Source organism: Homo sapiens, chromosome 11, assembly GCF_000001405.40.
Source record: "Homo sapiens chromosome 11, GRCh38.p14 Primary Assembly".
Classification (NCBI taxonomy): Eukaryota; Metazoa; Chordata; class Mammalia; order Primates; family Hominidae; genus Homo; species Homo sapiens.
Genome location: NC_000011.10, coordinates 83,034,520 through 83,062,409, shown reverse-complemented (window position 1 = coordinate 83,062,409; position 27,890 = coordinate 83,034,520). Strand labels below are relative to the sequence as shown.

General features: G+C 41.4%; 1 protein-coding gene and 1 non-coding gene across 4 annotated transcripts in view, besides 2 other annotated features; both read left to right on the top strand.

The window, feature by feature from the left end:
• The window catches only part of RAB30 (RAB30, member RAS oncogene family), a 98,765-nt gene that overhangs the window by 9,488 nt on the left and 61,387 nt on the right, over positions 1–27,890 (top strand). The gene's annotated exons all lie outside the window — the stretch shown is intronic.
• Positions 7,374–7,533: an enhancer, noted in NCBI's record as "active region_5342". NCBI's record gives its function as "activates an Ori minimal core promoter by ATAC-STARR-seq in GM12878 lymphoblastoid cells {active_cell/tissue: GM12878}" and the evidence as "EXISTENCE:reporter gene assay evidence [ECO:0000049][PMID:35858748]".
• Positions 16,592–17,146: an enhancer, noted in NCBI's record as "OCT4-NANOG hESC enhancer chr11:82756306-82756860 (GRCh37/hg19 assembly coordinates)". NCBI's record gives its function as "activates a minimal SCP1, AML or CMV promoter by ChIP-STARR-seq in naive H9 embryonic stem cells {active_cell/tissue: H9 hESC(naive)}" and the evidence as "EXISTENCE:reporter gene assay evidence [ECO:0000049][PMID:30033119]".
• Positions 20,812–20,946, top strand: SNORA70E (small nucleolar RNA, H/ACA box 70E). The gene has a single exon (NR_033347.1). It is a non-coding gene; the product is annotated as a small nucleolar RNA, H/ACA box 70E (small nucleolar RNA).

Genomic DNA, 27,890 nt, shown 5'->3' with positions numbered 1-27,890 from the left:
ACCATCTGAGTGCTTTCCTTGTTCACCACTTTAATTGTAGGAAACTAATATCTTTTAATGAGAGTCTTCAATAAAAGATGCTCTACAAAGTTGTATTGTGGATGCTGTCTTATTATCTCAATTCTAGGCAGTAGAATTTAGCTCAATTTTTTACATACAAATGAGGAACCAATTTTCAGTAAGGTTAAGTAAACTTGTTTTGTTTTTCGACATGACCTAGCCCTCCCCTCCCACTCTGAAAAATGCAGATATAGACCCTAGGTAGGCTTTCTGAAACCAAAACTATACTGTTTCTGTAGCTGCTTCCTGTTCTTGCCTTGCCTTCTGATTGAAAATATAAGCTTCATGAAGCCAGGACCGTCTGGTGGCATTTACTTTCATATGGTTCATGTTATTTTCAGGCACGGGGGAAGAGTTTTCTGTAGACCTTTTGTTCACTGGAGCCATAATGTGAACTGTCATAGCATCTACTGGGTGCCAGGTGGTTTATGTTTTATTTGATTCTTTTTCCAACTTAATTCGAAACCTTTCAAACCTTTAGAGCAATTGCAAAAATAGTACAGTGAAGCCAGGCACTGTGGTGCACACTGGTAGTCCCAGCTACTCAGGAACAGGAAGAATGCTTGAGCCCAGGAATTCAAGAGCAGCCTGGGCAACGTTGTAAGACCCCATCTTTAAAAAAAAAAAAAAAAAAAAAAAGAAAAGAAAGAAAAAAATCCCACCTAAAAAAACAAAAAACAAACGAAAAACATTCCATGTACCTTTTATCTGGATTAATTTGCTTTTGTCTTTACACACATACACACACACGTGTGCACACACACAGATACTTTTTCTAAACCACTTGAAAGTAAGTTGCAGATATCGCCATGCTTTGTCTCTAGGCCCTTAAGCATATATCCCCTAAGAACAAGGACATTCTCCCATGTAATCACAATACCATTACATGGAAACAATCATATTTTTCTGATTTCCTCAGTCGTTCCAATGTCCTTTATAACTTTTAAAAAATTTTTCTGATCCAGAATCTTATCAAGACTACTTACCCAATACAGTTGTGTTCTTTAGTTTCCTTTAATGTAGCATATTACCTGTATTAGTCAGTGTTCTCCAGAGACAGAACCAATAGGATGGATGGATGGATTGATGGATGGATAGACAGAGAGAGAGGGAGAAAGAGAGAGAGAGAGAGAGAGGTGGGAAGAGATTTGTTAGGGCGATAGGCTCGTGTGATTATGGAGGTTGAGAAGTCCCATGACAGGCTGTCTATGAGCTGGAGACCCTGGGATGCTGGTAGCTTAGTGCAGTCCAAGTTGAAAGTCCTTGGAACTGGGGAAGCTGACAGTGGAACTCTCAGTCTGAGGCTGAAGACCCAGAGACTGGGGGGCTGCTGGTGTTAAGTCCTGGAGTCCAAAGGCCAGGTAGCCTGGAGTTGTTGTCCGAGGACAGGAGAGGAAGAGTGTAGTGTATTTCAGCTCCAGCAGACAGCTTGACATATTCGCCTTTTCTCTGCTTTTGTTTTCTCCAGGCCCCCAGCAGACTGAATGGTGCCCACCAACATTGGTGGTGGTTCTTCCACACCTGGTCCACTGAGACATGCTTATCTCCTCTGGAAACAGTCTTGCAGACACACCCCCAAATAATGCTTTACTAGGTTTCTAGGTATTTCTTAATCTAATCAAGTTGACACCTAAAATTAACCACCACAGTACCCTTGCCTTTTTTGCCTTTTATGATATTGAAATTTTTGAAGATTCCAAGTTTGTTGTCTGTGAATTGGATTTGTCTGATTGTTTTCTCATTATTAGATTCAAGTTAAACACTTGTGGTGAGAATTTTTTGCAATGTTCTATCCCTCCCCGTGCATCATAGGTGACACCTAATGTCAGTTTGTAACATCACTGGTGACATGAGGTTTGATCATTTGGTTGAGGTGGTATTGCCAGATCTCTCCATTGAAAGGGCACCCTTTTCCCTTTGTAATTAATAAAATTATCTGTGAGGTGATATCTTGAGATTGTTTGAGTATCCTGTTCCTCAATAACTTTAATTCAAAAGTTTTAACATCTATCGATAATCCTGGCCTCGGTCAATTGGTATTCATGAAGGGATGATTTTCTAATTCTCTTTCCTTCTGTATTTATCATATGATAGATTAGCTTTCAGCCCCCAACCCCTCTGCCGCCCTGCTTTTTTTTTTTATGAGACAGAGTTTTGCTTTTGTTGCCCAGGTTGGATGGAGTGCAGTGGCGCAATCTCGGCTCACGGCAACCTCCGCCTCCCGGGTTCAAGCAATTCTCCTGCCTCAGCCTCCGGAGTAGCTGGGATTACAGGTGTGTACCACCATGTCCGGCTAATGTTTGTAAAGATGGGGTTTCACAATGTTGGTCAGGCTGGTCTCGAATTCCTGACTTCAAGCGATCTGCCCGTCTCGGCCTCCCAAAGTGCTGGGATTACAGGCATGAGCCACTGTGTCTGGCCCCAACCACCCCGCCCCCGCTTTTTTGTTAATATCACTTGGACCCATGATTTCTTTTTCTCACAATGTGTTATAATCTATTACTAATCTTCTTGCCTTTTTTCCCCCTCAACCTTATGCTTTCTGATATTCAAATTGTCCCAAATGTAGCTATTGTGAGCCTATCTTATTTATTTGGCCCCAAAAGCAATCTGATAAAGTAGGCGAGATTTTGCACTTACAAGTGAGTAAATGAAGGCTCAGAAACTACAGGTAACTTTCCCAGGGTCGTATACCTAGTTAGCAGAGGTGGCCAGATGAAAACCCAGTTTTGATTAACTCAAGCTGGTCCTGCTACTTGGTTCCTGCTACTCCACACTGCATCCTGTTGGACCATGAACAGAATGTCACTTGCTGAAACCAATTTAAAAAGAAAGCACAATCCTTGCATCATTGTTGCTAATAGCAAATAATTGGAAACCACCTTAAATGTGTATCAGTAGGGAACTGGTTAAATAAATGGGTATGTATACACAAGGGAAAACTATGAAACTGCAAACAAGAATTAGGGTGTTCTCTAAGTACAGATATGGAAAAATCTCCAAGGATATATTAAAAGAAAGAAGGAAGGTGCAGAACAGTATATATTTGTGAACTAAATTGAGGATAAGAAAATATATTCGATTTTGCACACAGAAACCCTGGAAAGAGGCCAGGCACGGTGGCTCACACCTGTAATCCCAGCATTTTGGGAGGTCAAGGCAGGCAGGTCATTTGAGCCCAGGAGTTTGAGACCAGTTTAGGCATCATGGCAAAATCCCAGATCTACAAAAATACAAAAATTAGCCAGGCATGGTGTCATGTGCCTGTAGTCCCAGCTACTTGGGAGGCTGAGGCAGGAGGATCACTTGAGCCTGGAAGGCAGAGGTTGCAGTGAGCCAAGATCGTGCCATTGCACTCCAACCTGGGTGACAGAGTGAAACTGTCTCAAAAAGACATTAGAGAAGGCTGCTTTAGCCATTGGTGGCTGGTCAGGAGACAGAGGGATGCTTTAAAAAGATCCCAAGTGTGAGAGCCTACAAACTGGAGTTTGAATTTGTGTTATGGCATTTTCATGCTACACGATCTTGGGCAAGTCATAACTGCTCTGAGACTCAGGTTCTTCATCTATAATAGGGGATGTCTAGTCTCAAAATGTTTCTTCACAAGGTACTTATTACAAGGAAAATAGTTACAAGGAAATTACAAGTTACAAGGAAAATAGTAACTTCACAGTGGAGAAACAAGGCAGACACCACTTTAAGTGATCAACGTTTACACCAGTGATGGGACAAATCAACATCTGAGAAGTTCACAGTATCACTCGTGTGGCATTCCTGCCAAAGATACAGAACCTGATCTAATCAGAAATAGCTAAGGAAATATCTGATAAACCAAAATTGAGAAACATTCTACATAATATTTTTTTTCTGTATTTTTCAAAAAAGTAAAGGTCATGAAAAACAAAGACTGAGGAATGGTTCTAGATTAAAAGTGACTAAAGACACATTAAAAACTAAATGTAACATATGATCCTGGATTGGATATTAGAGAAATTTTATTTTATTTTTTGCCATAAAGGCCATTATTTGGTTAATTGGTGAAGTTTGAATAAGGGTTGAGATTAGATAATAGTATAGGATGAATGTTAATTTCCTGATTTTGATAATTATACCGTGGAAACACAAGGACTGTCCTTGTTTTCTAGGAAATACTAAGTATTTCAGGGTAAAGAAATGTCCATTACAGAGGGAGAATGATAAAGAAAATGTAAAGCATTTGAGTAATCTGGGTGAAGGGTAATTAGTAGTTTTCTTGAAGCTTTTTGTAAGTCTGAAATTAATTAAAAATAAAGAGGTAAAGATGGTGAGAGGGGAGATGCCAATACTTAGAGCACAGGGTTTGTTGCAAGGGTAAAACAAGGCTCAGGTCTCAGCGTGGTGCCTGTCACCTGGTGTGCTTCCCAGTACAGGCTGGCATTGTAGGATGGGCAAAGCCGACAGTAGCTCTTAGCCATCATGTGGGAGCCAAATTAAAATTGGCCTGTGGCATATGGTGACAGTATTGTTCTGAATCCACAATTGGAATTCATGGTCTGACGAATACTTTTCTCTCTTATTTATAAATTCATTTAATTGCAAAGTTTCTAAAAGTACACACATCAAATCACATTTAGTTATCCACTTAACAAATCATCTCAGTATAGTGTTAAATTTATATGAAGTTGTGATTGTCCTAGGAAAGCTAGGGGTAATGGTCCCTTTCCATCTGGGCCATTTTGGGGCCACTACTAGCATTTGGGCAACTATCTCTTACCTTTTCTTCCCTTTCCTCTCCCTCAACCCAACGCCCAGTTTCTGATTTTGTTGCAGAGAGCTATTTTAATTAGCCATGTTAAATGTTAATTGTTTTGGCAGACAAAAGAAACTTGAATAAGCTTTTCCTTCCAAAACTCAAGAACTTTGCTTTCTAAGAGTTAACATTGGAAAGAATGTTTCTGGCCTGGAAAATTTAGGTAGCAACCTGAAAAGGAATTCATGTCCTACAGGAATTGGAAGTTGGGTAGAGAGCTCAATTTCTTTTGAGAGAGATTAAAATATATACTTCTGTCTGAAATAGTAATAAAAATCTATTTTTTCATCTTTTTGCTAACAGCCTCAAAATATGAATGATTAAATTCAAAATAGATTTAGCACTAAAAAAAAAAAAAACCCTCAAGTGATCCGGATTTTAAAACATTTCTGAGATATCAGACAGACTATTTTGTTGAGTAAGAAGATCCTTAGTGTAACATTTAAGCCTGTCCCTTTGAAGTGACAAAATTTCTACCTTCTGAGGAGCTATAGCTGTATAACTCAAGATTCCAAATTCAATGATACAAATCTGTACTTACTGTTACTGCTGTGGAACTGTCCTTTTTTGACTATTACCTGCCACAGATTGTTTGGTCTTAGAATTCTGCATGCTTTTTGCTTTTAAAATTATGGTCAGGAAGCAAAATGGCATGTTTGCAAGTATAGTAAGTTATTTTCATTCTGTAACTTTATAATAATAATATTGGCAAACTTTTTTTTAGTTGATGACCTGCCAAGCACTGTGTTAACATGTTATATCATTTAATTTTGGCAAAAATCACATGAGAAAACTGAATCTCTGAAAACTTAAGTAGCATGCCTAAGATCGTATGACTAGCTAAGAGGCAGATCCAGGACCAGAAATCAAGACTGTCTTACTGCAGAGTCTGTGCTGTGTGATTTTTCTGCTGGACAATTTGCAATTTTATGTGGAAGATGATTCATTTTTTCACCTTATAATCTTGAAAGCTGAGTCCTTTTTTACTTGATAAGTATTTATTGAGAGCCCATCACATGTCAGGCACCTTGAGAACTATAGAGGTGGTTGAAACACATCTTTATGATTAAGGCGTTCACCTAGCAGCATTATTCACCATAGCCAAAAGATGGAAGCAACCCAAGTGCCCATTGATGGTTGAATGGATAAACAAAATGTGGTATTTACATACAGTGGAATATTACTCAGCTTTAAAAAGGAAGGAAGTTGTGACACATGCCACCACGTGGATGACCTTGAAGACCTTATGCTAAGTGAAATAAAAGCCAGTCACAAAAAAACACATTTTGTATGATTTCAATTATATGAGATATTTAGAGTAGTCAGATACAAAGAAATATAAAGTAAAATGGTGGTTACCAGGAGCTGGGGGCAGGAGAGAAGTGGGAAGCTGTTTAGTGGGTGTAGAGTTTCAGTTTTAGAAGATGAAAAAGTTCTATAGATTGGCTGCACATCAATGTGAATATACTTCATGTTATTGAACTGTATACTTAGAAATTGTTAAGATGGTAAATTTTATGTTATGTATATCTAAAAAACCAAACAGATACACCTTATGTCTTAGTCCATTTGTGCTACTATAGCAAAATATCTGAGACTGAGTAATTTGTGAACAACAGAAATTTATTTCTTACAGTTCTGGAGGCTGGAAAAGTCCAAGATCCAGGCGCCAGCAGGCTTGGTGTCTGCTGAAGGATACTCTCTGCTTTTCTACTCTTGTGCCCTTTGGATGGTGCCTTGTTCCTGCATCCTCCAAAGGATGTGTGGTCACATGGTAGAAGGCACAGAAGGACAACTCACCCCTTCAAGCCCTTTTTGTAAGGTGCTAATCCCTTCATAAGCATGGAGCGCTCATGGCCTAATTACCTCCTAAAGTTCCCACCTCTAAATACAGATGCATTGGGGATTAAATTTCAACATGAATTTTGAAAAGGACACAAACCATTCAAATCATAGCACTCCTTTACTACTTGGTAGAAAGTGATCAGTGAGACAGGAAGGACTGAGAAGTAATAAGTGTTAGAAATGGCTTCCAAGACAGGGTAGATCTGGCTGCGCAGCAGAAGATGGATAAAATTTGTGTGTCAATGAGGAAGGTGAGAAGGGCAACTCAGGGGAAGGGAACAGTGAGCAAAGTTATAGACATGCTTTAAAGTCCAGTCCTTGCAAGGAACAGATCTCCAAGTTCATGGTTCTATAATTGTGGGTGTCCCAGCCATCTTTGCTGTGGTCAGAGACCTGAAAGCAAAGTCTAAACCAGGTTCATGAAGTTGTGGTGTGCTGGACAGGTACTCATTCATGATTCATTCAGTAAACATTTACATAGTGCCAGGTGCTATGCTAGGCACTTTATGTATGGTGGCAGATTTAATAACCCTAACAACTTTGGAGCTATTAATAGCTCCAATTAACAGATGCAGATGCAGATGCAGAAATTGTGACTCAGAGAGAGGAAGTAACCTGTCCAAAATCACATGACGGGTAGGTGGCAGGAGCAAGACTTTTCCTATAGAGCCCATGCTGTGTCCACTAAGCCACACGCTTCTTCTTGCAGGTGAGTGCCAGGTGATGTCTGCTTTTGAACTACAGTCAAAATGGCACCTGGCCGCCACCACTTGCCATCTTCTTGCTGCTTCTGAGGATACCTTACATTTCTGAGGCTCAGCTTTCTTTTCGTTTTTCTTTTTTGTTTTTGAGACAAGGTCTTGTTCTGTTGCCCAGGCTGGAGTGCAGTGGCATGATCACGACTCACTGCAGCCTTAACCTCCCATGCTCAATCAGTCTGCCCACCTCAGCCTCCTGAGTAGCTGGGGCTACAGGTGCACACCCCCACATCTGGCTGATTTTTGTATTTTTTTTTTTCGTAGACACAGGGTCTCATTCTATTGCCCAGGCTGGTCTCAAACTCTTGGGCTCAAGTGATCCTTCCTCCTTGGCCTCTCCAGTAACTAGGACTACAGAGGTGTGCCACCATGCGTGGCCTCAACTTTCTTTTTTGTTGTTGTTGTTAATGTTGTTTTTCCTAGCCACCTAGATGACCAGGGACAGGCTCAGCTTTCTTGTCTGTGAAATGAAGGCCTGTATTAGACCAGGTTATTTCTAAAGTTTCTCCCAGATCTAAAAACCTAATTTATTCATTCATCAAACACAAGTTTTATATCTATTATATGCCAGATACTGTGCTCATGGGTAGTAGCAATCAAGATTTGACAGCACACTGTTTTTGACTATAAGGAGATTGTAGGCTAAAGAAAGAGACGTAAAAGAGATGATTATCATACAGTATGGTCATAATGCTGGCAGTGTACATAGAGATAACTACTGGAGCATAGAGGAGGGGCACCTGACCCTGTCTAGGATGAGAGGATGTTAAGAGGAAATGACTCCAGGAAGATAATGAAGAAGACCACAAGAACCTCATCCTTCCTGTTGTCCCTATGGTCATAAGCATGTTATTTATTTATTTATTTACAGAGTCTCCCTCTGTCTGTCACCCAGGCTGGAGTGTAGTGGAATAGTCTCAGCTCACTGCAACCTCTGCCTCCCAGGTTCAAGCGTTTCTCCTGCCTCAGCCTCCTGAGTAGCTGGGATTACAGGCATATGCTATCACTCCTGGTTACTTTTTGTATTTTTAGTAGAGACGGGGTTTCGTCATGTTGGCCATGCTGATCTCAGGCTCCTGACCTCAAGTGATCCACTCACCTTGGCCTCCCAAAGTGCTGGGATTACAGGCATGAACCATAACACTTGGCCACTTATTTATTAAAGTCATTAAAACTTTGGCAAACTTTTTATTTTAAGTCTTATGGAAAATTTAGTCATATATGACAGTTAAGTTCCCAGCAATTTGTCAAATATCTATAAGGTTTAGAATCTCTTCCAGATTAGAGAAAGATTATAAGGTTAAAAAGGGACCTGTGGGTTAGATTTTTTTTTTTTTGAAGGCATTTAGGAAGCATAGAGCAGATTAGTAAGAGACTCAAGGGTCCAGAGTTATTGGAGATGCTCACAACTAAAGTCACAGATGGTTATGCTTCAAAAAAGCAAGTGAAATTGCCAAGACACTGGGTAATATATGTGATTTTCTCAAAATTACTAAGTACCGCTGAGTTACTAAGGATTAGAATTACTAAATATACAATTTCAATACTAAGAAATTGAAGTGGAGGTTGAGGGGCAAAAGTTAGGCACTAACCATTAATTGAGCAGCTGTGCTCTGCCCTTTGCATTTATAATTTTATTTGATCCTCCCCACAATCCTGTAATGTAGGTGTTCTTATCCTGGCTTTATAAGTACAAAAACTGAGGCTCAAAGAGGTTGTGACTTGCTTAAGGTCACAGCTGGAAGGAGACTAAACAGTGGTTTAAGGCTCCTTCCTCTACTTCATGCTCCTTCAAAACACTAGAGTTTCTATTTCTGGAGGAACCACCCAGGGTGCAGGGCATAGACGCCTCCCTTCCATCTATGGAGCCCAGGGGATTCATGATAGTTAGGGGAGGCCAGCTCTTCAACTTTTCTAACACACTGAAGGACAGCTCCAGTTCCCTGTGTCTTCTCTCTGAGGTGGTAGATCACCAAGTCACAGGGAAAGTTTTTTTACTAAAACATTAATATATTAATATTGCCTTGCACCTCACTGTCTCTTTTCCCAGTCAATGTATGAGTGTTTGATCTTGGCAATTTGTCTTTTAGAAGTGGCTCATAAAAATCATCTGAGAGAATGCTGATTGAGGTCAGCTAGGTTTGTAGTGGATCCCTTCTCCCTCCCCAACAAAGGAAAACTTCAGCTCATTTGCTCCAGATTCTATCTTTGCAGTTCTGAGAGACCTTGTCAACTGGTTCTTAGAGGCCTTGAACTATAAGATTAAGACAGGATCACATGGAAGGCTCAGCACTTCTAATCTGCTGCCTCAGGCTCCTTCTTCTCTCGTGTTCCCCTGTGGGCACAGTGTCTTGTCAGGGAATGTTTTCCCAGCTGGCTTTGGAGGCAGGCCAGACATCTCTCTCAGGCCCTTTAGCCCTTGCTGTTAAGTTCCCACACATGGCTGCATGCAACATGGAAAACTAGCTTCCAACATGGGTTGATGAATTATGGCAGTGGGGAAAAGTCTCCTCTAGCCAGGCCATTTCTCTTCCCTGGTATTCCATAGTTTGGGCTATAGCGAAATGGATAGAGGATCCGAGGTCAGGAGATCAGAGCTTAAGTCTTGGCTCAAGTCACAAATCCTGGGGCTGTGAGCACTTGATCTGTTTGAGCCTGTTTTTATTGCTGAAAAGGAAGGACTGATGACAATCCCAGCTTCATGCTGCTGTTCTGAGTCACGTAACTCAATATATAGTATAAATGGGCTTTATAACAAGCCTGTAGCGTGTTTTACAGATGCCAGAGCTTGTTCTTAAAGACCAAATTTGGCTCAAAGAGAAATGTTTCTGGAAATTGAGCAGGAGGCCTGCTCTGTCATCACTGGTCTCCAGTTCCTGGCAAACCTGATTATTGCTCAAGGAGGCATTTGTGGCATCATTCTCCTGTTTATTTTTGTAATCTCATTTATAGTATTGTAAATGCTACCAGAAGCTTTGGTGATTGTTGAATATTTATCTTTGAAAACTCTAGCCAGGGTTGTACACTCATACCCAGAACTATTTACCCCAGAGTAATTATTTGAATTCTTAGAGCTATGTGTGATTCATTTTCCAATAGATTCTGGGACAGCAGAGCTGGCTATGTATGATAAATAAGGTGTATCTCACTTGCTAGATGAGAACTCCTGAGGGTATCTTAGTAGGTAAACCATACGTCAGGGCTATTACAACTTCATACATGCTTCTGAGAATGAAATGAGGGTGGGGAAGAGGGTTTTTGTTTTTTTTTTTTAACTGTAAGTGCTTTATGAGTTTAAAGCTAGAAGCCCTTGGAAAGTGAAAAGGGTCTTTCGTGGACTGTCATCAGTTTGTTGGAATTATTACCCTGTTCTGACAAATTTTCTAGGTGTTCCCAAGACACTTAGGGATCGTTGCTTACTTCCACCTTCTTGCCGCTTCAAATGATAGCTCTTCATTCTTCCTGGCTGTGTTAGAACTCTTTAAGTTATGGACGGAAGCAACCCAACTCTAATTGGGGTAAAGAGAGAATGTGTGGGAAGGATACTGAGGTATTTTATGTAACCATGAAAAGAACAGGTACAGCCGGAACCAGGAGGTTTTAGAGCAGGTAACTTCCCTACCAGCCCCCAAATTTCAGTGGCTCAATAAAAATGAAGTTTATTTCTTGTGTGTACAGCAGTTCAACATGGTTATTCCTGGCTAAGCTGCCTTTAATGTTTCGGGCACCCAGGCTCCTTCCATCTTGTGACTCCTCTGTTCTTAGAGCTTTCTCCTTTTAACCTGCAGATGGAGAAGGAGATGGAAGGATCTCACATGGAAGGATTCCATGGGCCAGGTCTGAAAGTGGCTTATATCACTTCTGTCCTCAATCTATTGATTATAATTTAGTTTGTGACCCCATAATTTAGTTGTGACCCAGTAACAACTGAGAAAGGCCTGTTTGCCCAGGAAGAAAACAAAATAGGTTTGGTGAGCACCTAGCTAGTTTGAACCACACAGGGACTCAAAAGCTGTTAAGAGACAGAGTCTCGCTTTGTTGCCCAGGCTGCAGTACAGTGATGCGATCTCGGTTCACTGCAACCTTTCCAACCCTTATTACCACAGCCACACCAAATGATTGCATTTCATGGAATCTATGTCACCATCATTTCTAACATGTACAAGTATTTTATGTACCACTGAGAAAAAGAAAATGAGGTTCCTAATACACTATCACAAAATGCTAAGATGCCATTATAAAATGCATCCTAGTTTCCAACCAGTCAAAAATGTAAGAAAAAGTATTTTTAGAATTGATGAAGGATCATATTCATCACTTTAAAACAAAGCTCTATAATTTCATGCCTTGGTACCACTGCTCATTTAGTTTTTTCAGTCCATTTAAAAAATACTTGCAGGCCAGGTAACAATGAATAAAACAAATTCAGCTTCTGCCTTCTTAACTCTTACTGCCTCTCCCCTTTTCATTTTCAGCGATCCCCTCTCCTCCTTTTCCATCATCCTGTTGTTATGAAGTACCTGTTGTGTGCCAGACAGTCTGTTGAACAATAGGGCTCAAGAAGGAATATGATGGCTCTTATAGAACCTCAAGGTTCTTACAGTGTGGGTAGTAAGGGGAGCGGGGTGTTGAGAGACAATCATGCAAACAAATGAGTAAATAAAGGGATTCAGGTCCTATTATTAAAGTCTTTTTTTTTTTTAAGACATGGTCTTGCTCTGTTGCCCAGGTTGGAGTGCAGTGGCTCAATCATGTCTCAGGGCAGCCTCAACCTCCCAGGCTCAAGTAGTCCTCAGCCTCCTAAGTAACTGAGGCTACAGGCATGCACCACCATGCCCAGCTAATTTTAATTTTTTATTTTTGTTAGAGATGAGGTCTCCCTATGTTGCCCAGAATGGTCTCAAACTCTTAGGCTCAAGTGATCCTCCCACTGTAGCCTCCCAAAGCACTGGGATTATAGGCATGAGCCACCATGCTTGGCCCCATTATTAAAATCTCTATAGGGTACTGTGGGCCCCAAAAGGAAGGGGAATGGCCAATTCTACTTTGAGGAGTGAGAATAGTTGTACCATTCTTATTCTTACTGTTAAAATGATTGTACACTATTAAAAGAGTAATAGTCTCTTTGGATAATTGATGTGTAGTTATTTCCAAAGATGCCTGATAATAATCAATAAGTAGGCCAAGGTGTTTTCCAAAGCCTATTTGAATCACCTCAAATTTTCTATTGAACTTTACCTTCAAAAGGCACATGTTCCAGCCTGGGCAACATAGTGAGACCCTGTCTCTACAAAGAATTAAAAAAAAAATTAACCAGGCATGGTGGCGTATACCTTGTAGTCCCAGCTACTTGGGAGGCTGAAATGAGAAGATTGCTTGAGCCCCGCAGGTTGAGGCTGTAGTGAGCTATGATCACGCCACTGAACCCCAGCCTGGGCAACAGAGTGAGACCCTGTCTCAAAAAAAAAACACAAAAACTGCCCCCTGCACCCCCCGCCTCTGCCCCCCAGAAAAACCAGGCAAATGTTGGCCTCCTTTTTTTTTTTTTGATATGGAGTCTCGCTTTGTTGCCAGGCTGGAGTGCAGTGGCTTAATCTCGGCTCACTGCAACCTCCGCCTCCCGGGTTCAAGCGATTCTCCTGCCTCAACCTCCCGAGAAGCTGGGACTACAGGTGCATGCCATGACACCAAGCTAATTTTTGTATTTTTAGTAGAGATGGGGGTTTCACCATGTTGGCCAGGATGGTCTTGATCTCTTGACCTCATGATCCGCCTGCCTTGGCCTCCCAAAGTGCTGGGATCACAGGTGTGAGCCACCACACCCAGCATCTTTTTGCAAACATTAATAAATAGTTTGCAAGGACTTTTATAGTTACAAAACAAGGCGATATCAGACTTATCTTATTGTAGAGGCAGTCTGCCCCTCTTTACATTAATTATCTACCTACTTTAAAAAGTTTCTTTTTAACCATGTGGTTCTTTTTCGAGCTTGAGTGGATGCTCCAGCTCACATGCTCCAGCAGGGAGAAGGGCAGAGCATCTAAGAAGGGTGGAGTACAGCCACTCAGGGCCATGCTGGGGCCCAGCAGCAGGGCTTACAGCAATGGGATTTGGAGAGACGGTGGGTGAGGCTGTTTGGGGCTGGCATCAGCGAGCAGCCACGACAGGACCTTTCCTTAGAGGTCGCAGAGCTCAGACAGCATGAACCTAATGCAGGCTCCTTACCTCTCAAACAAGGATGCAGGCTAACATTAAACTCATTTTGATTGGCTAGACAACCCCAAGGTTGGGAAGTAAAGAGATTTTTTTTGAGGTTCATAGAAAGGTCAGCAGAGGGGCCAATGTTTGCCTACCTCCTCTGGCTATTGGAAAAAGAAAAAGCTTACCTACTGAGTCGGGGAAAGAATCCAAATTTAAACTGTCTCTCTTCTGGTTTATGAAGAGCTTAGAAATGAGCATTATAATATTCAGGATTTTTTTTTTTTTTTTGAGACAGTGTCTCACTGTTGCCCAGGCTGAGTGCAGTGGTGTTATCACGGCTCACTGCAGCCTTGACTTCCTGGGCTCAAGTGATTCTCCCACCTCAGCCTCCTGGGCAGCTGGGACTACAGGCATGTGCCACCACATTTGGCTAATTTCTTACTTTTTTAGGATTTCACTATGTTGCCCAGGCTGGTCTCGAACTCCTGGTCTTCAGCGATCCTCCTACCTCAGCCTCTAAGTGCTGGGATTAGAGGTGGGATTTTTTTTCTTTTTAAACCTTCTAGGCCAGCATATCTAGAGCAGGGTGCCTGGGGAGAAGGTGAGATTTGTGACTCCATGTCATTACTGGGCATACGGGGCCTTGTGGAGAGAAGTGAGCATCGTTTTATTTTTTGTAGAGACAGGGTCTTGCTATGTTGCTAAGGCCAATCTCAAACTCCTGGCCTCAAGCCATCCTCTTATCTCCCAAAGTGTTGGGATTACAGGTATGAGCCAGCATGCCCAGCCCCAAGTTGCTTCTTTAGAGGAAAGGAGAAAAGGCAGAATCTCTAGATCAACTTTGTGATTTATACGTAACAGTATGACAATGAAGTGTGTGGTTGGAGTGTATTGTACTTGTAAATGGAGATGCTCTACTGAGGGATGGTGGAAAAGCACTCTCAGCCCTTTTCAGAACTCATTGTTAGCAATCAAAAAGAGGAAGACTGAAAGAAAAAAAAAATCCTTTGAATCAGCAAGAGGTTTATACATAGCAGTGATTTATGGGTGAACAGAGGAGGAACATTAAAAGAATAATTGCTGGCTGTTTATTTTGGGAAAGTATGTGTGGTCAAGAGTCGAGGCAGGGAGCTTTATTTTTTCTTTTACCTTGCTCTATCTTCTATTATTGTTAATAGGATCATATACTCAAGACTTTCCTTGGCTTGTTGCCCTGACATAAATATTTGAATTCCTTGTTTTGGTATCGTGTATTTTTAACAACAATAGAGGGAAAAAGAAATAATGTTGTGAGCTAAATTATTCTATATGCCTTATTGTGGATGGAATTTATTCTCTTGGGTCCATGGCTATTAAGATGATCAGTTTAGATGATCTGTGTTTCTGATAGCTCTTTCTAGATAGCTTTATAATTTGCCCAAGGGGTTTGTTCAGGGGATGGCTACATGTATTTTTTTATTTGGTGGAACAAGGTGAGTTTTAATCCTGGTTATCTGAGCTCCAGGCCTTTCCAGGTGCCACCGTCATCCAAAAGGCCAATAAGAGTAGATTGTTCCTCTCATTGTGGCGTCCACCCTGGGGGCATTTATTAGGCAGTCACTGGATACACATTGACCCAACTTGCCCCCTTGGTAGAGGATTTAGTTCTTAGGGTTGCTGCTGCAGAATTCATTTATGCAGTTAGCAAATTGTAGTTGAGTTCCTGTTGTGCCTTTGGTATTGTTTCAGACTTGGTACTGCTCTGCGTGAAGAGCCGGAATCACACAATTCAAGGAAACCCAGCAGAATTAGAATGTTAAAATGTCAGGGTTTAAAGGGACTTTAGAGATAATCTAATCCAGAGGCAGCAAGCTGTTTCTATTAAAAGGTCCAGAAAGTAAATATATTAGGCTTTGGGGGCCACATATGATCTCTGATGCATATTGTTCTTTGTTTTTGCAATCATTAAAAAATGTAAAAATTGTCTGGGTGCTGTGACTCACAGCTGTAATCCCAGCACTTTGGCAGGCCAAGTGGGGAGGTTCACTTGACGCCAGGAGTTCGAGACCAGCTTGGGCAACAAAGTGAGACCCCTGTCTCTACAAAATAAAAATAAATTAGCTGGGTATGGTGGTACACACCTGTAGTTGTAGCTACTCAGGAGACTAAGGTGGGGAGATGGCTTGAACCCAGGAGTTCAGGGATGCAGTGAGCTATGATCACGCCACTGCACTGAAGCCTGGGCAATAGAGTGAGACCCTGTCTCTTAAAAAAAAAAAAGTAAAAATTATTCTAAGCTGGGGGTAGAGATATAGGCTGGATTTGGCCTATGAGCCATAGTTTGCCAACCCCTGATCTAATAGATTCCCTTCATTTTACCAATGAGGAAACTGAAGGCCAAAGGGTGGAATACCTCTCCAGCCCTTTTTCTAAGTGGTGACACTTAGAAAAGGATCCCTAGAGGTCAGGCCTACACCTCAGAGTGTCCACTCACCTTGCATATGTATAGCTTTGGTCCCGAGGGAAGTATGAATCTTAATTTTAAGACACTGGGTGCCTATCACTTTCCAGGACGGTGTTTGGGATTAAGGATGCACAATTTGGTACAACAAAGCCTTAGCTCTCAGTCAGCTTAGTATATCCCATATATGCCTGGGTAAGTAATGAGGTTAAAGGAAGTAAAATGAAAGATTCAGACAACTACTGAAGAAAGGTGATTTATTTGGCAGTTGCTTTGTTTCACCAGTTTATCTGAGCAGTGTCATTGAGACATATATGAAACCATGTAAGATCAATCATAGAGCCTTTTAATATTCCAGAGCTTGAAGAGATTTTAGGATCACTTAGCTATAACCTCTCATTTAACAAATGAAGAGCATGAAACCCAGAGATTTTAAATTACTTACTCTGGGTCACACAGCTAATTATTAGAATCTCAGGGTGGATTTTAGATACCTAGTGTAACCACTCAGATAATAACAAAGATTAATAATTATAGCCAACATTTACCTAAAGTTACTATAATATGTATAGTCATATACGTAATCTCAGTTCTGACAGTAACTCAATGTAATAGGTTTACCATACCCATTTTACAGCTGAGGAGACAAAACTTGTACAGGTTAAGTCAATTTTGTCCAAAGCCACCAAGCCAATAAGTGGTAGAGTCAGGATCTAGGCTCAAGTGCTTAACCGTGGCAAGGCTGTTTATTGCAGTTTGACTAAGTGCTTGGATTGTGCTTCTCCATTCATTTGCGACCTCCTGGTGGGCAGTGGGTATGCCCTTTTAATCTGTGTTTTCCTACTCTGGGCTTGGCATATACAATTTGTTCAATAAATGTTTACAGAGCTGGGTGTGGTAGCTCATGCCTGTAATGCTAGCACTTTGGGAGGTCAAGGCAGGAGGGTCGTTTTAGCTCAGGAGTTCGAGACCAGCTTGGGCAAGATGGCAAGATCTTATCTCTAGGAAAAAAAATATATATATGGGCACAGTTGTGGATGCCTGTAGTTTCAGTTGCTTGGGAGGCTGGGTGACAAAGGGAGACCTCGTCTCTATAAAAAAAAATGTTTACAGAATAAATGAATAAATGAGTAATCCACCCTTCTTTAAACAGTTGACACTTCCGGTGATGAGTCAATGGGAGTTCAGTGTCTGTGTTAGACCATGTCTAGGTCTGCTGACGGCTAGTCCTTTCATGAGATAGGCTAATGTGCAGATTTCGGCTAGGAAAGCCTATTGCCCTGCAGTTGTTTTTACAGTGCCCCTGAACATTTTTGAGAATTAATGTATACAGTAAAATTCTCTTTGAACATCAAAGATTCCTTGAAGACCTGATAGCCTGCTTGGTTTCTCTGAATCTGATGAAGTTTGTAGAGATAACTGGAAGATTCTCTCTGTATGTGGTACCTGCCTTTTGCACAGCCATTTTAATTTAAAGCTATAGTTTCAAACTATATTCTGAAGCATCCTGGGGTTTGTGGGCTAAAAAATCAAGGAATTCTGTAAGAAAAATGAGGGGTGGATTTGGCTTTGAGCCCAATGATGCCTAAAACAAATTCTTTGCTGCATTTATTTTTCAGTTCTGATGAACGAGAACAACCAACTCATTAAATGTAGAGTACCTGGCAATATTTTCTTCTCTTTCTTATATAAGTTGAATGTTTTTCTCATCTGACAATGGTAATACATGGGATTGCTCTGGACTTTTTCGAAGTTCAAAGATCTTTGAACAGACTTGTAGTGATATTTCTAAAAAAAAAATCTTCCTACCTGGATTACTGTTTTTTATATAGAGAATGGGCTTTGTTTGCCATTCACTCTAAGTGGAATTTTTCTATATGGCATAATAAAGCTGAAGTCCTTAGATTTTAGTTCAGAAAGCCATATCCTTTGAACCTAGGCCTCTGGGTTTGTTCACATAAGTCAATATACAGCGTTAATAATTGCTGCATATCCCTTGAGGGAAAATCCAAATTAAATAAAGAAGGCTTTCATTAGGTTGTGAATAAACAGATTTTGGTTATATTGGTAAGATTCTTTAGGGATTTTCAGGGGGTAGAGATGAATACAAGATACCCTTCTCATTTGCAGGTGTTTGAGAAATCTCTTAAAATAGAGAAACACAGGAATATTTGTTTTCCAACAAAAAATAATTCAAAGACCTGCCCACGTTTCTTGCCAAAGCTTTGTTCTTTTCAAGTCCCATCCAACCCTACACAAATTTTTCTTCTGATTATATTAGGAAGAAAACCTTAATGGCTGCTTGCTGTTAACATCTACCTTTAAACATTTCTTAACTATTAATGAGTCTTTCATTTAACTATATCATAATATAACCCTGGTTTACTGCACTTTATATCTACTTCCCTCCCCACTCAGCAGTAGTAGTGTTTCCTCCAGTAAAAAGGGTCAGGGGGTGGGAGATGGAAAGGATCTGTTCACTGCACGGTAACTTGCTGTGTTATGGGGTAAATAGAGGTGTGTGGTTTTTTTTCTATCTAATTTTTTATTTTGAAAAATTTAAAACAAACATATTAATACAAAGGACAACCAAAAAACCCTTTACTTAGGTTTACCAATTGCTAACATTTTGCCACATGTGATTTATCTTTCTTTATAAATGCATATTTACACTAGGGGGTAGGGCAGACATCATGATCCTTTATCTCTAAATATATCAGTATTCTCCTAAGTGTAAGGGGGATATTCTTCTTCACAATACCATTATCATGCCTTAGAAATTTAATATTGATTCCATTATGTCATCTAATAGAGTCCACATTTAAATTTTGCCTTTGATCAGCTAGCTGATAAACAAATCATGTCAAAACTTAGTGGCTTAAAACCACCACAGTTTATTAGTGCTCATAATTCCACGGGCCAGTTGGGTGGTTCTTCTAATGTGGATTAGGCTCAGCTGATCAACTGGGCTCCTTTATACCTCTGGAGTCAGCTGCTGGACTGACTAGGAGCTGGCTGGTCTAAGTCGGCCTCAGTTTGGATGGCTTTTCTTTGCTCTAGAGGGGTCTAGAACAGGCTAGAACAGGCTTGTTTCCATGGCTTATGGGAAGGTTCTAAGAGAGTGGAAGAGTGCAAAGCCTTTTAAGGCCTAGGCTTGGAATTGGCACAGCATCACTTCTGCAATCTTTTGGTCAAAGCAAGTCACATGCTCCTCTTGATGGGAATAACTGCAAAGTCATATTGCTCAAGGGCATGGATACAGGGGCATGAACAATCACAGCCATTTTTGCAATCTATCATACCCATATTGTCCAAATACCGTTAATAATAATGTTAATGTTGTAATGTTAATCATTATAACTGTTGGTTCGTTTTTAATCCAGGATCCAAACAAGATTACACATTAAATGTAGTTGTTTTACCTCTTTAGTCTCTAAATCTATAGGAGTCTCCCTGCTTATTTGTGTTTTATGATATTTTTAAGATTCCAGATCTGTTTTCTTAACAATATCTCACAATCTGAATTTGTATAATTATTTCTACATGATTATATACAGGTTAAATATTTTGGGCAAGAATTCTAAAGCTGAGGTTGTATATTTCCCATATCATCACAAAAGGAGGCACATAATTTTAGTTTGTCCAGATCATTAGTGATGCTAAGTGGAATCACTGCCTAAAGTGGGGGCTGCCAGATTTTGTAGTCATGAAGTTGCCATTTCCTAGAGAAAGATTTGTGGGTTTTTTTGTTTTTGTTTTTTTTGGAGATGGAGTCTCGCTCTGTTGCCCAGGCTGGAGTGCAGTGGTGCATCTTGGCTCACTGCAACCTCTGCCTCCTGGGTTCAAACAATTCTGCCTCAGCCTCCCGAGTAGCTAGGATTACAGGTGTGTGCCGCCACACCCAGCTAATTTTTTGTATTTTTTTTAGTAGAGATGGGGTTTCACCGTATTGCCCAGGCTGGTCTTGAACTCCTGAGCTCAGGCAATCCACCCACCTTGGCCTCCCAAAGTGCTAGGATTACAGGCATGAGCCACTGCAACTGGCCTAGATTTGTTTTAAGTCTCGACATTTGGTGTTAGCATCCTTCCAATCACATCAACATATATTCATTAGATACCTATTGTATATCTAGTCTGATTTAGTGCTATGGGGATCTAAAAGAATGGTAAGGCGTGTTCCCTGCCTGAAGGAATATATAGTTTTCTTGAGTTACTCTTTAAAAACTGAACAAATAGTAGAGGAGTGGTGATTCTAAGTTAAAAACTAATTTTTTTTTTTTTTTTTTTGAGACAGAGTCTCACTCTGTTGCCCAGGCTGGAGTGCAGTGGTCACTGCAACCTCCACCTCCCGGGTTCAAGCGATTCTCCTGCCTCAGCCTCCTGAGTAGCTGAGATTACAGGCATGTGCCACCACACCTGTCTAATTTTTGTATTTTTACTAGAGACAGTGTTTCACCATGTTGGCCAGGCTGGTCTCACACTTCTAGCCTCAAGTGAAATCTACCCAGCTCAGCCTCCTAAAGTGCTGGGATTATAGGCATGAGCCACTGCACATGGCCTAGGTTAAAAACTTTTTAAAAAAAGTTTTAAAGTTAAAAAGTTTATAAAAACTTTTTTTTTTTTTAGCTTAATAAAGTTCACAAACTGAACACATCAGGGTAACCAGTATCCAGATTAAGAAACAGAACGTAACCAACATCTCAGTAAGACTGATTTTTCTGCAACCAATTAAGCCGACCTAGTTCCTTTCCTCTTTGGGGCCTGGTGTTCAATAGCTGCAAACAGCAGCTTCCTTGGTAGTGTATGCAGCCTGTTTCTTGTATGGGTTGCTCTAAAGGACCTTGGAGACAGCCCTTTCTAATATATGTTTATGTCTCTGACCTTGTACTGTCCCCAGTGTAGGCTCCAGACAGTGGAGGTGCCTTTGGAAAGCCTCAAGGAGCCTTGATCAGGGTTCATACTGGCCAAGTTGTCTTGTCTATCCACATCAAGCTATAGAACCAGGAGCATGTGATTGAGGCCCTCCACAGGGCCAAGTTCAAGTTCCCTGGTCACCAGAAGATCCACATCTGAAAGAAGTGGGGCGTTTCAAAGTTCGATGCAGATGATTTTTTTTTTTTTGAGACAGAGTTTCACTCTGTCTCCCAGGCTGGAGTACAGTGGTGTGATCTCAGCTCACTGCAACCTCCACCTCCTGGGTTCAAGCAATACTCCTGCCTCAGCCTCCTGAGTAGCTGGGACTACAGGCACATGCAACCACGCCCAGCTAATTTTTGTATTTTTTTGGTAGAGATGCGGTTTCACCATGCTGGCCAGGGTCGTCTCAAACTCCTGGCGTCAAGTCATTTGCCCACTTTGGCCTCCCAAAGTACTGGGATTACAGGTGTGAGCCACCGTGCCCAGCCAGTGCAGATGAATTTGAAGACGTGGTGGCTCTGGTATGAGAAGTGGCTCATCCCAGATGGCTGTGGGGTCAAATACATCTCCAGTCTGGGCAAGTGGCAGGCCCTGCATTCACGAAGGCTTCCACTGTGCTGCTCCCTCCTAATGCCCACCAATAAATCCTACTTCCTGTCCAGAAAAAGAAGATTCTGATTTTTAACTGTATAGAACTTACATCCAAATGGTGGTTGTCCTTTTCAATGCCAAGTTAGGAGTGATCCAAGAAAATCAATATTATTTTAAGTTCAAAATAGTGTTATTCAATTTTTTTTTTTTTTTTTTGAGACAGAGTTTCGCTCTTGTTGCCCAGGCTGGAGTGCCAATGGCACACTCTCGGCTCACTGCAACCTCCGCCTCCCAGGTTCAAGCAATTCTCCTGCCTCAGCCTCCTGAGTAGCTGGAATTACAGGTGTCCACCGCCACACCCAGCTAATTTTGTATTTTTAGTAGAGATGGGCTTTCTCCATGTTGGTCAGGCTAGTCTCGAACTCCTGACCTCATCAGGTGATCCACCCAACTCGGCCTCCCAAAGTGCTGGGATTACAGGCCCGAGCCACTGCACCCAGCCCAAAATAGTGTTATTCAATGTGATCACTCTCTGTACTGTATTCAAGGTTGATTCAGAGTAACTTTTCACCATGTCCATTTGTCAAAATCTCTTTTCTTTCATTTCTGTCTTAGAGCAGAAGGTGACTTATTTCCCAAGGGTAGCCTTTCACTTGTGTGTTGTATCCTATTCCCTCTTGACGTGCTGGAGTCTGGTCCTCCTGTTTCTTTCTTACATCTTCTCCATGTATCTTCTGTCTTCAACTTTTCCTTTTCTTTTGGCTCCTGCTCCTCACCTTATACTCTTATTAACAGTCTTGCTGCTTCTCCTCATCAGACTACTTACTTTTCTTACCCTTTCCCTCCTTTTACTGCCAAACTTTTTAAAAGACTGCCTCCTCTTCCTCTTTAACCCATTCATCCAGTTGCCCTTTGAAACTTGGTTTCTTTCCCCACAGTTCCAGAGAAGTCCATTGACAAACTCCTACTTATTAAGTCGGCCATTTTTTCAGCCTTTTTTCTTTTTGATTTCTGCTTCCTGTGGAAGTCTTACTCATCTTTTCTTTGAGACCGCCTCCTTTCTCAGCTTCCATTGTTGTGTGCTCTTGGTTATCTGCCTACTGCTCAGAGCTCTCCTCTAAGAGTTTTGACTTCCCCAAGAATTTTGACTTCCCCAGGCTGGAGTACAGTGGCGTGATCTCGGCTAGCTGAAGCCTCAACATTCCAGGCTCAAGTGATCCTCCCACCTCAGCCTCCCAAGTAGCTGGGAACACAGACACACGCCACCACAGCCGACTAATTTTTGTATTTTTTGAAGAGATGGAGTTTTGCCATGTTGCCCAGGCTGGTCTCAAACTCCTGAGCTCAAGTTATCTGCCTGCCTTGGCATCCCAATGTGCTGGGACTATAGTCAGGAGCCACTGCGCTTAGCTGAGAATGGCATTTCTTAGGACTTTTTATCATGGACTAAGTGTTGTTATGTTGGCAGTTTATTTGGAGTTTGAAGATTGTGGTGTTAATGGCAAACTCTCAATTAAATTGATGGACATTTTCTGTAACCCTAGCTTCTTGATGATGTGCCTAGCAGGAACTCAAGAAATATTCATTGGAATCATTCATTCATTCAGTTATTTATTTATATATTCAATAAATATTTACTAAATGACTAGTTGGTAAAATGAATTGTTTGTTAATTCAACAGTAGGTAACTTTCTTTCAAATTATCTAAATATGGTTTTCTTTGTCTTTTTCTTTCAACTTTGTCGAAGTTTGTTTTTTCCTAATTTGTGCAATTACTAATTATATGACTCTTGGATAAGTTACTTTACCTTTAGAAATCAATTTTCTGATTTTTACAATGGAATAACAATAGTGGCTACTTTCTGGGTTGTTGTAAGGATTGGATTTTTTTAAATGCACATAGCACATGCCTAGCATATAGTTATGGATCTGTAGTAATAGATGTTAGCTATTTTTCTTCTTCTTCTTTTTTTTTTTTATTTTTTTTGAGATGGAGTTTCTCTCTTGTCTCCCAGGCTGGAATGCAGTGGTGCGATCTTGGCTCACTGCAAACTCTGCCTCCCAGGTTCAAGTGATTCTCCTGCCTTAGCCTCTCAAGTAGCTGGGATTATAGGCGCCCACCACCATGCCTGGCTAATTTTTGTATTTTTAGTAGAGACAGGGTTTCACCGTGTTGGCCAGGCTGGTCTTGATCTCCCGACCTCAGGTGATCTGCCTGCCTTGGCCTCCCAAAGTGCTGGGATTACAGGTGTGCGCCACTGCACCCAGCCTCATTATTTTTCTTAATAGAATGTATCAGGCATAAGGCTTTGGTCCTCACAGTAAACATCTTGAGGTAGGCATTGCTTTCCCCCTATTTCAAAGAAATAAACTGAGATTCAGAGGATTTAAATAATTTGCCAGAGGACACAGCGCTAATCAATTGCAGATATGGGATATCCAGTTCCATAGCATATGCCTTTCACCTACACCAAAAAGCCTTTCAGCATCTTGTTTGACACTTAGAAATGAACTAGGAGTCACTTTATAGTGACTAAAATTAGCTAACGTTGATCTCATTTGCCTTCTGAGAGGTAGGACATACCAAGGGAGTTCTGCCCTGTTGGAGAAACTCCAGTCCTGAAGGTTAGATTAATTAAGATTTTATCTTAAAACCACAGAATTCCAGAGTTTAGAAGGATTTTATGTAGCATTTTCCCTATTCAATTACTGAATTCTCTCTCTAACCCTCCAGTCAAGGAGTCATCTGTTTTTTTCTTTAACCCTTCCAATGACAGAGAAGTCATCATTCACCCTCTCCCACTCCCAAGGCAGCTTATTTCACTCTGACCACGAGACAGCCTTCCTTATGTCAGACTGAATTCCTTTCCTGTCTGTCTTCCGCACGTTGGTCCCAGTTTGGCAGTGATGGCCACATGAAGTAAGTGGAACCCCTGTTTCCTAAGGCATCCTTTCAGATTCTTGCACTTTACTCTCTATCATAACCCCCAAACACTTTATCTTCACCAGAGTAGCAGCTTCAGGCCTTTAATTCCTAGCTTCCCCTTGAACAAACACAACTGGGGTCCACTTTTTTTTTCTTCTTAGTGTGATATAGTTGGCTATCTCACGAGCATTTTGCTTCTCCTCCAGTCTCTCTTAATACGTGGTACCACTCTCTACCCAGTTGTTCAAGCTAGAAACCCAGGAGTTTGTTCCCTTCACCATTCACATACCATTCATCAGCAAGTATTTTCATTATTTTTTAAAAAATTCATTCGGCTGGGTCCAGTGGCTCACACCTGTAATCCCAGCACTTTGGGAGGCCGAGGTGAGTGGATCACGTGAGGTCAGGAGTTCAAGACCAGTCCGGCCAACATGGCGAAACCCTGTCTCTACTAAAAATACAAAAATTAGCCAGGCATGGTGGTGGGCGCCTGTAATCCCAGCTACTAGGGAGGCTGAGGCAGGAGAATTGCTTGAACCCTGGAGGCAGAGGTTGCAGTGAGCCGAGATCACACCACTGTAGTCCAGCCTGGGTGACAGAATAAGACTTTGTCTCAAAAAAAAAATTCGTTTGTCTTTTTATTTTTTAAAATTGTAATTAAATTTCAAAGTTTTTATTTATTTATTTTTTAAAAAAACACTTAGTATCACCTCAAGTATTTTCTTTGTTATTCCCAAATATAAAATCCTCTCCCCTACCATTATCTTGGTCCAGGCCACCATTATCTCTCCCCTATTCTTAAGTCTTGCCCACTCCCTACACTCACTTCTCCACACAGCAACCAGAATTATCTCTTTAAAGCGCAAGTCAGATTACACTATTTCCCTGATTAAAACTCTTCTTTGATCTCCCATTGCCCTTTGGACAAAATTCAAAGTGTTTTCCATGGTCAACGAGGCCCTGTGTCATCTCAACCGTTCTTTTTTCCCTGTTGCTCACCCAGCCTTGGTCCCTGTTCTCCTTTATGTTCCTTGGACACGCCAAGCCTTTTCTGGTAGCTAACCCTTGCACTTCTTGTATCTATTGCCTGCGCTCTTTTCCTAGCTTTGCAAATGCCTGGCTTATTCTCATCTTTCAGGTCTCAGCTCACATCTCACTTTCTCAGAGAGGCCTGATCCCATCAGTCCTCTGAGGCCTCATCTCATCATTCTGTAATTATCTATCTGCATTGTCATCTATCCTCATGAGAACAGTAGTTCTTTGGTAACTGGACCTACCTTATGTTAACAGTTGTATCCTCTGTAGGTGTCACAGTAGCTGGCTCATAGAAAGTGCTCAATAACTATCTGAGGAATAAATGAATGGACTCATAATTGACTGAAAGGGTGTTGAAGTTGTATTAAAAATGAATTTGAGGCCAGGCCTGGTGGCTCATGCCTGTAATCCCAGCACTTTGGGAGGCCGAGGCAGGAAGATCACTTGAGGTCAGGAGTTCGAGACCAGCTCTGGCCAACATAATAAAACCTTGTCTCCATTAAAAATACAAAAATTAGCTGGGCATGGTGGTGCCTGCCTGTATTCCCAACTACTGTGGAGGCTGAAGCAGGAGAATTGTGTGAACCTGGGAGGTGGAGGTTGCAGTGAGCCAAGATCGTGCCACTGCACTCCAGCCTGGGAGGTGGAGTGAGACTCCATCTCAAAAAAAAAAAAAAAAGAATTTGAACCTGAGCTTTGCCACTTCCTGTGTGACTTTGGGCAAATTATGCTATCTTTCTGGGCTTTAGTTGCCTCATCTGTATAATAGCAGTTCTATCTACCTTACAGAATGTTGTGCGGGTCAGTTAAGATATTGGCTGTGAATGTACCCACCACAGTACCTGATACATATTAAGTATTCAGTCCACCACCAGTCAAAGCCTGGCACTTAATTCTGAACATGCATAGAAGAGTTCTATCAAGTTTCAGCCTCATTAATGGAACTGTTTGTGTGTTGTGCCTGTGTGTGTGTGATCCATAAGATGCCTGTGACTTCCCGCAAGTAACACTTGCCTGGCTGGAAAGACAGTTCTAACCCAGGGTGTCAGCTGTTGCACTGAGTGATACTCGATCTGATTACCCAGGGGTGCCAAGCACAGAGCCTTCACTGGAGAGCTGAACACAGACCCTAAAATTAAATTATCAAACCTAACATCGTGTGGCCCAGTCTGGTTGTCAAGATAGATGCTGTGTCTAGACAGTCATCTCCCTTGGGAAATCACAGTTGCTTAAAAAGGAGGCACGTGGTCTCCTGTTAAGAATACAAAACAGGCCTGTGAGCTGTTGAGGAAGAGGTTGCTGCTTGAGGTTGCATGGGCCTATGGAGCAGGGCCTGGGGAAAGAAGCTGTCTGCTTCTATACTCATGTGAGTCTCTGGATCATGGTGGTGGCCTTCTCCTTCACTCATGTCGGGACAACTGAGTCCATGGTGCATGGGAAGGTAGAGACATAGCTATCACCTTCCCCAGAGCCAGTGATACTGTGCCTCCACTGAAGATTGCTGGGAGGAATTGAAAGGCAAGTCTGGAATATGCATTACCTGCTGGGGAGGGGAGCAGAAATCTTGCTGCAACTTGCGTGCTTGGCATGATGATCTAGGTGGCTCCCTTCTGAATGCTGTTAGGATGAGTGTTTTAAGGTGAGCACTCTAGAATTAGGTAGACCTGGGTTCCAATCCTGGTGATGCAGTGACCTTGATCAAATTATTGAATGTCTGAGCCATAGTTTGCTCATTATTAAATGGAGGTAATAATGACCTGTATCTTATCTAGTTGCTGTGAGGATTAGATGATACGGTGCATGTAAAAATATTAGCTTAGTGCCTGGCACATAGCCAGTGGTCAATAAATGATCATTCTTTTTATTAGTCAGGATTTTGAGTTTAGTATTTCTTTTCCTTTCTTTTCTTTTTATTTTTTTCTGCTCTCTGTGAACAAAAAGTTTGATACTTCTGATGAGCCTCACCCACACTGAACTTTCAGTCTTGCTTCCCCTCTTGCTAACTGTGTTCCTTGGACAAGTTATGGAACCTCTCTGAGTCAATGTTCTTATCTGTTACCTGCAGTTTACAGTTCCCATCTCACAGTGAGGATGAAATGAGATCAGAGCACCTGATACATAGTAAGTGCTCAAAATACTTATTTCCTCCCACCTTGGTTCTGGAGTATCTGAAATACGGCCCCTTTAAGCTTGTTAAGATTCCTCACTAGCCTTGTATGCAGCTGTGGGCAGAGAGCTTTGGCAGAAGGAAAGACTTTTTGTTTTTTTTTAAATGACTGTTTCATAATCTGTTGGCTCAAATCTGCTGCTGCCACACCCTGTGCCTCT